Source organism: Homo sapiens, chromosome X (genome assembly GCF_000001405.40).
Source record: "Homo sapiens chromosome X, GRCh38.p14 Primary Assembly".
Classification (NCBI taxonomy): Eukaryota; Metazoa; Chordata; class Mammalia; order Primates; family Hominidae; genus Homo; species Homo sapiens.
Genome location: NC_000023.11, coordinates 41,672,135 through 41,687,312, shown reverse-complemented (window position 1 = coordinate 41,687,312; position 15,178 = coordinate 41,672,135). Strand labels below are relative to the sequence as shown.

Sequence of the window (15,178 nt, the reverse complement as noted above, 5' to 3'; positions counted from 1 at the left end):
ATGGATTTTTGGGTTGCTTCCACCTCTTGACTAATGTGAATAATGCTGCAGTGAACATGAGTATGCATATATCTCTTCAAGATCCTAGCAGGAATTTTTTAATGACTAAATAGGCATTTAACTACGTGCATTCTATTTCATATAATCTAGCATGAATATATTTTTTTCTATATTATTTTCCTACACCTAAGACAACCCTTTTCAAAACACTAATTGTTTTAATCTTCAGTTTCCTCATATTGTGACCACATTTTCTCCTCAATGTGAGTCAGCACAGCTACCACCAGATTTGAGTATAATCTTTTTCTAGTTCTTTCTTTATATAAGCTTTTTCCTGTTCATTCTGAACATTCTGGTTTGTCTCTGCGTTCTTAGCTCATTTTCGATATGTCCTCTTCCCTTCACGCTTCCTCTTTCTCTTGTTGGGATTATAAGGTATTTATATTAAGATAGAAGTAGAAAAGAACAAATGTATACGCTTGTTTGGTGCCATCTATTACTGATATCACTGTTCTCTTTAAATCCCAACCCTGGTTAAATTCAGCTCACCACCTACTCCAGGCCTGAACCTTGCCATGTAAAATGAGGACTGCTGGATACAAACACTCAATGATGCTGATTGGTCTCACTTCAAATTCATGACTACAAACCTCAAGTGGGCCCCTGGGCTGCCAACAGTCCTAGTATATTTCCTTAGTCCAGTGGTTCTCAAAACAGGGGTCCCAAACGAGTTGCGTCAACACCACTCAGAAGCTTGTTAGAAATGTATGTTCTTAGCTGGGCATGGTGGCGTACGCCTGTAGTTCCAGCTACTTGGGAGGCTGAGATGGGAGGAGCACTTGAGCCTGAGAGTTTGAGTCTAGCCTGGGCAACATAGCAAAACCTTGTCCCTAAAAAAAAAAAAAAAAAGAAAGAAAGAAAAGGCCAGGTGTGGTGGCTCACGCCTGTAATCCCAGCATGTTGGGAGACCGAGGCGGGCAGATCACCTGAGGGTCAGGAGTTCGAGACCAGCCTGACCAACATGGTGAAACCCCATCTCTACTAAAAACACAAAAATTAGCTGGGTATGGTGGCACGCACCTGTAATCCCAGCTACTCAGGAGGCTGAGGCAGGAGAATCGCTTGAACCCGGGAGGCAGAGGTTGCAGTGAGCCAAGATTGCACCATTGCACTCCAGCCTGGGTGACAGAGCGAGACTCCGTTTCAAATAAAAAAAGAAAAAAAATGCATGTTCCTGACTTCATCCCAGACCTGTGAGCCAGAAATTCTGGGGATGGGGCTCAGCAGCCTGTGTGATTCTGATGCTAAGGTTTGAGGACCACTGCTTAATCAGTTCATTCTTCTATTCCTTGAAAATACTTTTTCACACCTGTACTCTTCTCAGACTGCCAGGAACCCCTCTCCTTCCTCACTCCCACCTGGTGATCACTTTTTATTTCACTGAGAAAATAGAATCACTCAGAAGAGAATTTTATTGTCTTCCAGTGTCCACCTCTGCTAGTATATACAAATGTCTCTCTAAGAAACAAAAGCCGGGCGCAGTTCTTCATGCTTGTAATCCCAGCACTTTGGCCAGCTGAGGTGGGCAGATCCCTTGAGCTCAGGAATTCGAGAGTAGCCTGGGCAACATGGCGAAAACCTGTCTTTACCAAAAACTACAAAAATTAGCCGGGTGTGGTGGCACATACCTGTAGTCCCAGCTACTCAGGAAGCTGAGGCAAGAGGGTGGCTTAAGCCCCAGGAGGTGGAGGCTGCAGTAAGCCATGATTGTGCCACTGCACTCTAGCCTGGGTGACAGTGAGACCCTGTCTCAAAATAAATAAAATAAAAAATTTAAAAACCTCCACAAAAAAGCTCTAGGTACTACTATGGAATTACCTGTAGAATATATTGTTATGTGGAAATTTTGAATATTTGTACATATTTTCTTATTTTTAAAAAACTGAAGGATAAACTGAAAACTGATAAAAATAGTTACCAATGGGGAAGAAAAGATTGGGAGTGGGGGAAGAGTGCAAAAGCTAGACCTCTCTGAATAGTATCTGTTTTACAGTTTGTACTTTAGAACCTATGTACATGTTTTATACAATTAAAACACCAAATTAAGGCAAAATCTAGTTGAAACAAATGAACCTCACTCTATTGCAAAGTGAAAGCATAACCACAAGGAGAATTATTTTTGGTAACTTTTAAAATAGGGTAGGGGTTTTTGTTTTGTTTTTACGTAATTTTAGACTTATAGAAAAGTTATGAGAACAAGTACGAGGATTCTAGATACCTTTTACTCAGATTCTCTATGTTAACATTTTTTCCTTCATTTGTTTAATCCTTCTCAATCTCTCACTCTTATCCATTTATGTATTTCCTAAAAATAGGGAATTCCTTTACATAGCTGCAGTACAGTTATCAAAATCAGTTAATTTATGTTGACCTAATATCATTATGTATTCTACAGACCTTGTTAAAATTTCATCAGTTGTCCTAGTAAATATCCTTTATAACAAAAATAAAAACAAACCGGGCACAGTGGCTCACACCTGTAATCCCAGCACTTTGGGAGGATGAGGCGGGCGGATCACTTGAGGCCAGGAGTTCGAGACCAGCCTGGCCAACATGCCAAAACACTGTCTCTACCAAAAATGCAAAAAATTAGTCAGGCATGGTGGCACGCTCCTGTAATCCTAGCTACTTGGGAGGCTGAGGCACGAGAATCGCTTGAACTCGGGAGGTGGAGGTTGCAGTGAGCAGAGATCATGCCACTGCACTCCAGCCTGGGTGACAAAGTGAGACCCTGTCTCGAAAATATATATATATTAAAAACAAGATCTATCTTTTTAGTCTCCTTTAATCACTTTAACCTGGAACTGTATTTGAAGAATATAGGCCAGTTACTTTCTAGAATGTCCCTCTTTGGGTTTGCCCAGGGTTCCTTCATGATTAGATCTCGTTATGTACTTTGGCAGGAATACCACAGCAGTGTTGCCAAGTTCTCAATGCATCATATCAGGAAGCACATGCTATCAATCAGTCCCATTAGAAGCAGTGTTAACTTCGCTAGTTTCTGCTGGGTTTCTCCCTTGTAAAATTACTAGTTTCCTGTTTGTAATTAATAAGTATGCTGTAGGGAGATATTTAGAGATCACATAAATATCTTACCACTCTTCAAACTTCCACTCACAAGTTAGCATCCTTGATGATTCTTACCTGAATCAGTTACGATAATGAAAACTGACAGATTCCAGCATTTCTTCTACATTTAATTGATTTTCTACTTAAAGCTTTTCCTCCTTCCCCATTCATGTATTTGTTTATTTATTTACATCAGCATAGACTCATGGATTCTTTACCCAGTAGTAAAATGCTATTTTGACCGGGCATACCTAGTGGGATATATCTTAAGGACAAAAAGAACCACAAAATCTTAAACAGCATTCAGTGGTGTTGTTATTGATAATGTAGGTATTACTATTATTTTAAAACTTTCACACACACATACACACACATTCTGAAGCACAAAGCAAATGAGTAATTATGTTAGTATCATTAGGTACCAAGATTACAGTTGACCCTTGAACAACATGGGGATTGGGGTACTAATCCCCGCACAGTTGAAAATCCATGCATAACTTTTGACTCCCCCAAAACTTAACTACTCCTGGAAGCCTTACCAATAACATAGTTGATTAACACATATTTTGTGTTATATGCATCAAGGGAGCCTCAAGTGATCCTCAAGTGATCCTCCCACCTCGACCTTCCAAAGCACTGGGATCATAGGCATGAGCCACCACTCCCAGCCGGTTTGATAATTATAGAAAGAGGTTTGGCTTTAAAAATGTCAAAATAGCAGGATGCAGTGGCACATGCCTATAGTCCCAGCTACTCAGGAATCTGAGGCAGGAGGTTTGCTTGAACCCAGGAGTTCTGGGATGTGGTGCATTATGCCAATCAGGTGTCCACATGAAGTTTGGCATCAATATGATCTCCCGGGAGGGGGGTACCACCAACTTGCTTAAGGAGGGGTGTGAACTGGCCCAGGTTGTCAGCGGAGCAGGTCAAAACTCCCGTGCTGATCAGTAGTGGGATTGTGCCTGTGAATAGCCACTGCGCTCCAGCCTGGGCAACAGGGCGAGACTCCCACCTCTGAAAATAAATTAAAATTAAATAATGTCAACATAACAGGAGGATCAGTTTTTGTCAGCAAAGAGGCAGCAGATGAGTTCTCAGATGCCATTCAGAAAAGTATTGAAGAGGAGCAATATCTGCCTGAACAGGCTGTTAATATGGATGAAAAGTGCCCTATTCTGGAAAGAAAATGCCACAGAGAACATCTATTAATAAGGAACAGAAGCAAGCACCAAGATTTAGGGCAGGAAGGGATACACTAACTCTAATAAGCATAGTCCTGATATAATTCCAACTGCATTTGCACAAAACAGTAGAGTCAGCCTATCTGCCTCACTTGAGGTCAGGAGTTTGAGATGAGCCTGGGCAACATAACGAGACACTCTAACCCCCCAAAAAATGTTTTTAATTAGCCAGGCATGGTGGCACACACTTGTAGTGCCAGCTTCTCTGGAGACTGAGGCAGGAGGATCGCTTGAGCCCAGGAGTTCAAGGCTACAGTAAGCTATGATTGCACCAACTGCACTCCAGCCTGGGTGACAGAGTGAGACCCTGTCTCTTAAAAAAAAAAAAAAAATTTATCAAACTGTCTTTTGCCACCATTGCATTCTCCAGCTTTTAGATCCTTCATTTTTTTTTTTTTTTTTTTTTTTTTTTTCCTGAGACAGTCTCATTCTGTCACCCAGGCTGGAGTGCAGTGTCAGCCTCCTGGGTTTAAGCAATTTTACCGCCTCAGCCTCCTGAGTAGCTGGAACTACAGGCACGCGCTACCATGCTGGGCTAATTTTTGTATTTTTAGTAGAGATAAGGTTTCGCCATGCTGCCCATGCTGGTCTCAAAGTCCTCCACTCAAGTAATCTGCCCACCGCAGCCTCCCAGAGTACTGGGATTATAGGCATGAGCCACCACACCTGACCCCTTCACCTTCTTTTTGCTTTAAGTTGCTATTTCGCTTTTTCTCAAATTATGTTAGAATCTATAGGTATGTCTTTTTTATACCCACATAAAAGCTGCATTTTCAATACTACTTAAAAAGGTATTTCACAAAAAGTGCAAGATTTTAGCACCTACTGGTGTTAGCTGCAGGAGTAGCTTCATGAATTTCCTTTCCTTTTTTTTTTTTTTTTTTTTTACAATGGTCCTTATGTTGGATTCATTTATCTTGAGATGGCAGCCAATTGCAGTTGCAGACCTCAATCTACAATACATATCAAGCAATTCAGCTTTTTCTTTTTTTTTTTAAGATGGAGTCTCGCTCTTATCACCCAGGCTGGAGTGCAGTGGTGCAATCTCGGCTCACTACAACCTCCGCCTCCCAGGTTCAAGCAGTTCTCCCACCTCAGCCTACTCAGTAGCTGGGATTTACAGGCGCCTGCCACCATGCCCGGCTAATTTTTGTGTTTTTAGTAAAGATGGGGTTTCACCATGTTGGCCAGGCTGGTCTCGAACTCCTGACCTCAGGTGATCCACCTGCCTCAGCCTACCTTTTTCTTGTAATGTCATGACTTTCCTCTGTTTCTTAGGAGCACTTCTAGCATCACCAATGGCACTTTTTATGGATCCTATGGTTTAAGGTATTGCACTAAACACAGTGAAAATAATATGAGAACTGTGAGATTACTTTTACTGTGATATGCAATTTATTGGAGAGATGAACTGCTCAAGCAAAGATAAGTAGCATCACACAACATATTAGGTGAATACTCGCAAGACTTGAGCTCACTGCAACAGCAACAGGAGGGAGCTGTGAAATTATTACAGTAGTATAATATGTACTACAGTTAATTTTATGGTTATGATTTAATATTGCATTCTTTGTATTTGTTCACATTTCTCTTGACTGAATGGCACCGTTTACAGTCTGTGTAGGTGTAAGTTTTGATAAATTTTAACTCTTTATAATAGATTTGTGTACATTTTTATAGTACTAAATAATAAAATAGTATCTAAATATGTTTTATGCATTTATGATATAGCTTTTTCTTAATTTTTTATTCCAGAAGTCATCCTTCACCTTTTTCTTAATTTTTAAAATAGTTCTAGGCAACATGGTTGGTCCACGAGTTTTTTCAAATTGTTACGAATCTCCAAAAAAAACTTTCAATATATTTTGTTGAAAACAATCCATGTATAAGTGGACCCACACAGTTCAAACCCATGTTCAAAAGTGAACTATACTTGCCAAATCAAAGAATTAAAGTAAAAATGCTATAATTGAATAGGAAGAAATATTAGCTTGAACTTGTGGTTTATTTATTTATTTTTTTTTTTTGAGACCGAGTTTCGCTCTTGTTGCCCAGGCTGGAGTGCAATGGCATGATCTCGGCTTACCGCAACCTCCACCTCCCAGGTTCAAGCGATTCTCCTGCCTCAGCCTCCCAAGTAGCTGGGATTACAGGCTTCTGCCACCACACCCAGCTAATTTTGTATTTTTAGTAGAGACGGGGTTTCTCCATGTTGGTCAGGCTGGTCTTGAACTCCCGACAGGTGATCCTCCCGCCTCGGCCTTCCAAATTGCTGAGATTACAGACGTGAGCCACCACGCCCAGCATGGTTTATTTTTCTCCTAAAAATGCATTCTTTTTTCAGCACTGTCCACTGAAAAGCCAAAGTAATAATAACCCAGTAAAAATAATATGCCTAGTACCCACATCATGGATTTATTTATATATTTTATTTTATTTTTATTTTTATTATTATTATTTTTGAGACAGAGTCTCGCTTTGTCGCCAGGCTGGAGTGCAATGGCGCGATCTTGGCTCACTGCAACCTCCGCCTCCTGGGTTCAAGCGATTCTCCTGCCTCAGCCTCCTGAGTAGCTGGGACTATAGGCGCATGCCACCACGCCCAGCAAATTTTTGTATTTTTAGTAGAGTTAGGGCTTCACCATGTTGGCCAGGATGGTCTCAATCTCTTGACCTCTTGATCCGCCCACCTCGGCTTCCCAAAGTGCTGAGATTACAGGCATGAGTCGCTGCGTCCAGCCAATTTTTTTTTTTTTTTTGAGACAAGGTCTTACTCTGTCACCCAGGCTGGAGTGCAGTGGTGCAATCTCAGCTCACTGGGTTCAAGTGAAGCTACTGCCTCAGCCTCTCGAGTAGCTGGAATTACAGGCATGTGCCGCCACGCCCAGCTAATTTTTGTATTTTTAGTAGGGACAAGGTTGGCCGGGCTGGTCTTGAACTCCTGACCTCAAGTTATCCACCCACCTTGGCCTCCCAAAGTGCTGGGATTACAGGCATGAGCCACCGCACCTGGCCCACATCATGGATTTAAATCGTTTTTTGCACTAAAAAGAAACAGGGCTACTTAGAGAAATGGCTGATTCCAGATCTGGGGCAAGAAATGGACATGACAAGCCTGGAACATCATCTTGTGACTGAAAGCAAGGAAGTTATCAGACTTCTGGAGTCTTACAAAAATACAGAAGAACTGACTTAAAGGGGCTCCCACTGGCCCAAAATGGGACAATTTGAGCACAAAAATTTGTAAAGGCAGCAACTGATTAAAACACATTAAATATATAAAAATCTGTAAGTTCATAATAATTAAAAAAAAAACACCTCATCAGTCACCTTTGGAGGTTGCCTAGAAACTAACTTGGTATTCTGGAAATAAATTATAACAGCTTTATTCATAATATCCAAAAACTAGAAATAGCCTAAATGTCTGTCAACAGGAGAATGGACAAACTGATATATTCATACAATGCAATACTTACGGCAGTAGTAAAAAGAAATGAACTACTGATCACAACAAAATGAATGAATCTCAGAACATGCTGAATGACAGAAGCCTTACATAAAAGAATACATACTTACGGTTTTGTGTCTATCAAGTTCTAATATAGGCAAAACAAACCTATGGTGAAAAAAATATCAGAGTAGTGGTTTGCACTGGGGGAGATGGCAGCAGAGATTGAATGGGAAGGGGATGAGGGAGGGAGGTTTGTGGGATAATGAATTTTTTTAGGGATTTGGGTTACACAAATGTATGCAGTTCATCAAAACTCTAATGGTACGCTTTTGTGCATTTCACAGTATATACATTTTTTACCTTAAGCATAACTTTATTTTTTTTTTACTTTTTATAGAAGTTTTAAGAGACAGGGTCTTGCTGTCACCCACGCAGGGGTGCAGTGGCACAACTGCAGTTCACTGCAATCTTAAGCTCCCAGGCTCCAGTGATCCTCCTACCTCAAGTTACTGGTCCCAAGTTACTGGGACCACAGGTGCACGCCACCAAAACTGGCTTTTTTTTTTTTTTAAGTAGAGGCATAATTTTAAACAAATATTAAATTTCAATGATATGTGTGCTAAGGTGTATTAAAAAGTAAGATGGATAGAAGGATAAAGAGATAGATATTTGATAAAGCAAATGTAACAATATTTAATTGTAGAATCTAGGTGGCTCTTTACAATATAATTCTTTCAATTTTCTATATGTTTGATAGTTTTCATAACAAAATGTTGAAGAAAACCTCCATTTTGGCACCTCTAATTATGGGTCTAGGCATCAACATCTGCTAACATCATTGAGTGAAAAGTTGATGGTGAATCTTATAATGATGGGTCAGGCAGACAACACCTGAACCCACTGCTCAATCCTGTCACTAAAAGTAGGATAGCCAGGTGCTATGTTCTTCCTGTTGCAATACAATAGATATATCACCTATGAAGTATTAGTGCATAAAACTAAAATTGAATCTGAATCTAATCAAGATTCTAGATCTAACTACAAATTTACAGGAAATACAGGAGAGTAAAAAACATTAAATAATACCATGTAGGTACCATTAGTCAAGTACAGATTGTGGGGGATTTCACAGGAAAAATTACCTAGTATCTTAACAAATCAATGGCATGAACATTGGAAAAAAAAAAGCATAAGGAAGGGGATCTGTTACAGAGTAAGAGACACTCACAAGACATAGTCATCAAATGCAATGTACAGACCTTGGATCCTGTCTAGAACCAACCAACCGTAATAAGACCTTTCTTCTTTTTTTAGTCTGTTCTACTCCTTCAAGTTATTGGTAGAGAAAAGACATTTTTGAGACAATCAAGGAAAACTGAATGTGGACTGAGTATTAGATGATACTAAAGAAGTATTGCTCATTTTGTTGGACTTAATAATGATATTATGGTTATTTTTAAGTCCTGTGTTAGAAATACTGAACTATTAACAGGTTAAATTACATTTATGTTAAAATACTTCTGGGGAAAAAAAGTAAACAGTTGGGGATAGATGAAGCAAAAATGAAAGAATGTCCTTGTTTTTGGGTTTTTCGTTTGTTTGTTTTTGTTTTATTTTTGCCTGGAGACGGGCAAGTTGCCCATACATCCCAGCAGGCCAGGGGAGGAGCTGAAAGAATGTCAGTAATTGCCAAAGCTGGGTGATAGATACATGGAAGTTTATTAATCTATTTTCTCCACTTGTAAATGTTAAAAAGAGGCATCCTCAGCTTCACACTTTCTTCTACATCCCATTTCTCCATTTTTACTACAGTAAGACTGTGAAAGATATCTGTATTTACTGTCACTACATCATCTCCTCCCATTCTCTCCTGAACCTGGTCCAATGGGGATTTTTGCCTCCATCGTGCCACCAAAACCACTCTTATCAAGGTCACCAGTAACTTCCAAATTGCCAAATCTAATGGTCAGTTCTCAGTTCTCATTTTAAATGACCTTTGTAACATTGATGACTACTAATCATTCCTACTTGAAAAAGTTTCTTCACTTGACTTCCGGATACCAAACTGATTTTCCTCCTGCTTCACTGTCTAGACCTTGTTTTCTTTGCTAGATTTTTTCTTCTGACTTCAGATATTGGCGTGCACCAGGACTCAATCCTCTGACTCTTCTCTATGATTTCCTAAGCAATTTCATTCCTTACCATGGCTGTAAATATCATCTGTGTACTGTTGATTCCCAAATTTACACCTCTAATCCCAGCTTCCCCTTAATGTCATCTTATAAAATCTCAAACTCAATACGTATGAGACCAAATTCTTTTTTTTTTTTTTTTCATTTTTCTATAAAATAGAGATGGGGTTTTGCCATGTTGCCCAGGCTGGTCTGAAACTCCTGGGCTCAAGCAATCTTCCCGCCTTGGCTCCCCAAAGTGCTAGGATTACAGGTGTGAGCCACCGCACCCAGCCTGAAACCAAATTCTTGATCCACCTTACAAACTCCTCCCTCAGTGTTCCCTGTTTCAGTAAATGGCATCTTCATTTTCACTCAGTTGCTCAGACCAGAAAACTAATTGTTATAATTGACTTGTGTCTTTCTCTCACGCTCATATCCAGTAGCAATTCCTGTCAGCTTTACCTTTAGAACATAAACTGAATTTGACTACTTCTCATCATCTCTGCTTCTGTCACTCTAGTCTAGTCCAAGTCACCATCTTCTCTTGCCTGTGCAACTGCAGTAGCCTCTTAATTGGTCTCCTTTTTCCCTGTTTCTTCACAATCTCCTCACACAGCAGCCAGAGTGATCCTTTTAAAACCTAAAACTGATGATAGTACTCCCCTGTTCAAAACCTTATGGTGATTTCCCATCTCGCTCAACATAAAACCCAGAGTTCGGAGAGCAGGCCAGAGCCCAGGCCCGGCCCAGCGGCGCCCGCCAGGTAGACCCAGGCGAGGCCGCGTGCCGGCGCGAGGGGAGCCCACTGCGGGAACATCCAGTCATGGATAAAAATGAGCTGGTTCAGAAGGCCAAACTGGCCGAGCAGGCTGAGCGATATGATGACATGGCAGCCTGCATGAAGTCTGTAACTGAGCAAGGAGCTGAATTATCCAATGAGGAGAGGAATCTTCTCTCAGTTGCTTATAAAAATGTTTTAGGAGCCCGTAGGTCATCTTGGAGGGTCGTCTCAAGTATTGAACAAAAGACGGAAGGTGCTGAGAAAAAACAGCAGATGGCTCGAGAATACAGAGAGAAAGTTGATACGGAGCTAAGAGATATCTGCAATGATGTACTGTTTCTTTTGGAAAAGTTCTTGATCCCCAGTGCTTCACAAGCAGAGAGCAAAGTCTTCTCTTTGAAAATGAAAGGAGATTACTACCATTACTTGGCAGAGGTTGCCACTGGTGATGACAAGAAAGGGATTGTGGATCAGTCACAACAAGCATACCAAGAAGCTTTTGAAATCAGCAAAAAGGAAATGCAACCAACACATCCTATCAGACCAGGTCTGGCCCTTAACTTCTCTGTGTTCTATTATGAGATTCTGAACTCCCCAGAGAAAGCCTGCTCTCTTGCAAAGACAGCTTTTGATGAAGCCATTGCTGAACTTGATACATTAATTGAAGAGTCATACAAAGACAGCATGCTAATAATGCAATTACTGAGAGACAACTTGACATTGTGGACATCAGATACCCAAGGAGACGAAGCTGAAGCAGGAGAAGGAGGGGAAAATTAACCGGCCTTCCAACTTTTGTGTGCCTCATTCTAAAATTTACACAGTAGACCATTTGTCATCCATGCTGTCCCACAAAGTTTTTTATTTACGATTTATGACAGGTTTATGTTACTTCTATTTGAATTTCTATGTTTCCCATGTGGTTTTCATGTTTAATATTAGGGGAGTAGAGCCAGTTAACATTTAGGGAGTTACCTGTTTTCATCTTGAGGTGGCCAATATGGGGATGTGGAATTTTTATACAAGTTATAAATGTTTGGCATAGTACTTTTGGTACATTGTGGCTTCACAAGGGCCAGGGTAAAACTGCTTCCCTGTCCAAGCAAAGAAAACTGCCTACATATTGGTTTGTCCTGGTGGGGAATAAAAGGGATCATTGGTTCCAGTCACAGGTGTAGTAATTGTGGGTACTTTAAGGTTTGGAGCACTTACAAGGCTGTGGTAGAAACATACCCCATGGATACCACATATTAAACCATGTATATCTGTGGAATACTCAATCTCAATGTGCACACCTTTGACTACAACTGCAGAAGTGTTCCTTTAGACAAAGTTGTGACCCATTTTACTCTGGATAAGGGCAGAAACGGTTCACATTCCATTATTTGTAAAGTTACCTGCTGTTAGCTTTCATTATTTTTGCTACACTCATTTTATTTGTATCTAAATGTTTTAGGCAACCTAAGAACAAATGTAAAAGTAAAGATGCAGGAAAAATGAATTGCTTGGTATTCATTACTTCATCTGTATCAAGCACAGCAGTAAAACAAAAACCCATGTATTTAACTTTTTTTTTTTAGGTTTTTTGCTTTTGTGATTTTTTTTTTGATACTTGCCTAACATGCATGTGCTGTATAACAATCCAAGCATAATTGTTAAGAACACATGTATTAAATTCATGTAAGTGGAATAAAAGTTTTATGAATGGACTTTTCAACTACTTTCTCTACAGCTTTTCATGTAAATTAGTCTTTTGGTTCTGAAACTTCTCTAAAGGAAATTGTACATTTTTTGAAATTTATTCCTTATTCCCTCTTGGCAGCTAATGGGCTTTTACCAAGTTTAAACACAAAATTTATCATAACAACAAAAATACTACTAATATAACTACTGTTTCCATGTCCCGTGATCCCCTCTCTTCCTCCCCACCCTGAAAAAAATGAGTTCCAATTTTTTTGGGAGAGGGGAGATTGATTAGAAAAAAATGTAATATGTTCCATTTAAAATTTTGGCGTATGGCATTTTCTAACTTAGGAAGCCACAATGTTCTTGGCCCGTCATGACATTGGGTAGCATTAACTATAAGTTTTGTGCTTCCAAATCACTTTTTGGTTTTTAAGAATTTCTTGATACTCTTATAGTCTGCCTTCAATTTTGATCCTTTATTCTATTTGTCAGGTGCACAAGATTACCTTCCTTTTTTAGCCTTCTGTCTTGTCACCAACCATTCCTACTTGGTGGCCATGTACTTGGAAAAAGGCCGCATGACCTTTCTGGCTCCACTCAGTGTCTAAGGCACCCTGCTTCCTTTGCTTGCATCCCACAGACTATTTCCCTCATCCTATTTACTGCAGCAAATCTCTCCTTAGTTGATGAGATTGTGTTTATCTCCCTTTAAAACCCTGCCTATCCTGAATGGTTTGTCATTGTCTGCCTTTAAAATCCTTCCTCTTTCTTCCTCCTCTGTTCTCTAAATAATGATGGGGCTAAGTTATACCCAAAGCTCACTTTACAAAATATTTCCTCAGTACTTTGCAGAAAACACCAAACAAAAATGCCATTTTAAAAGAGGTATATTTTTTCTTTTAGAATGTAAGCTCCTCAAGAGCAGGGACAATGTTTTCTGTATGTTCTGTTGTGCCTAGTACACTGTAAATGCTCAATAAATATTGATGATGGGAGGCAAAAAAAAAAAAAAAAAAAAAAACACCCAGAGTTCTCACCACAGTTTCAAGGCCCTACACCTTTGATCATCCCTCAGATCACATTTCCCACCGCTCTGCCCCTTGCTCTCATGCCTTTCCAGACACACTGGGCTTCCTTCTTCTTCTCCAAACAACCCTCCTTATTCCTGTGGGCCTTTGTATTGGCTGTTCTTCTCATCTGGAACTTGCTTCCATGTGGCTTGCTTTTTCACTTCGTTCTGGTCTCTGTTCAGATATTACCCATTAGAGAGGCCTTCTCTGACCCCAACTAAAATAGCAATTCCCTAGTCCCCATCCCTATAACACCTCCTTACCAGCTTAATTTTACTTCCTAACAAGTAATACTACCTGGCTTTACATTCTGTTAATTTGCATTTATGGCTCTATTTGCTTTCTTAAATTCAACTCTTTAGGCCAGGCACAGTGGCTCATGCCTGTAATCTGGGCACTTTGGGAGGCCAAGGTGAGAGGATCACTTGAGACCAGGAGTTCAAGACCAGCCTGGGCAACATATCAAGACCCCTCATCTCTTTTTAAACATAAATTAATTTAACTTAATTAAGTTCACATTTTATAACTTGTCTTAAGGATTCAAGAATGACTGAATCTACACAGAGGAGAATTATATAAATTCCCTTGTAACATTAACTTAAGCCTAAACATCATCAACATACTATTAAGGGCATACAGAACTTTGGAGTTCTGATTTCAGCTTCTACTCCTTCCTAAGGTGATAACAGTTACACAGCCATGGCCAGAAGACCCTGTTGGAGTCTAGTTTGCACTTTTTTCTTCTGTATCATGTTCATTCTTTTCTAGGCTTGCTCACTTGCTGTGTCCCATACTGGAATCATGCTAGGGGTATTGCCATCTTAGTCTGTTGTCATTGTTCTCTCTTTGAACCAACAGAAAGTTCTAACTAACAGCAGTCTATCAGTTGATTTCGGTAGAGGTTTGCCTGCTCTCCCATAGACTCTTCTTGCTACTTTGTGTCATGCTGTGGTTTGCTCACTATTCATTTCTACACTTGCCTTCCTTCTTTCTCTGGCTCTCACATACACACTTGTATTTCCTGGCTCATCTCTGTTTGTGCTAGACTATTGGAAAAGTCTTTAAACTTCTTTGGACAGAAAGAATAACTTCCAAAGTAGAATCCTGATGCTCCCATTGGGCAGAGTAAGGATTCCTCCCACCTGTGTGTCATCATCAAACACAGGTGTACCAGCTCAGTATGATTGCACCCTTTTTTTATACCTATTATGTTGGCTAAAACTGAACAAAAACTGTGTCCTTTTATGAATGAGAAAATATAGGAGAGAATTTTTAAAAACCTTTTGTCTTCTATGACTAAAGAGACTTGCTTTTTTTACTAGCCCCTGTTTTGAGAGCCGGTCAGATGTAGTTTTAGTCATATTGGGGAGGACAGTGTTTAAGCAGATACCAGAGCTCCCCATTATGAAATTCTTTCCTGACACCAGCCCCAACTAGGTCCCAGTAAGAAATAGATGCAGAGGACAACATCCTACAAAGGAAACCCTCATTGTTATCACAAAGCATATGATATAAAGGAGCCCTGGTCAAGCAGGATACCCCTTGGGGAGAGGATGTCTTTGCCCTGGACTAGGAATCAGGCAAGTGGTTTTCTTTCCCCTTCTCCTTTTTCACCTCCCACCCCCACAGAGAGGAAAAGCAGATCC

The 15,178-nt window shown here is 40.1% G+C and overlaps 1 protein-coding gene and 2 pseudogenes across 11 annotated transcripts in view; all 3 read left to right on the top strand.

Annotated features, from left to right (window-relative positions):
- CASK (calcium/calmodulin dependent serine protein kinase) overlaps positions 1-15,178 on the top strand; it is a 408,621-nt gene that overhangs the window by 236,242 nt on the left and 157,201 nt on the right. The window lies entirely within an intron of this gene.
- Positions 3,847-4,145, top strand: RN7SL144P (RNA, 7SL, cytoplasmic 144, pseudogene; annotated as a pseudogene).
- On the top strand, positions 10,807-13,461 carry YWHAZP10 (YWHAZ pseudogene 10; annotated as a pseudogene).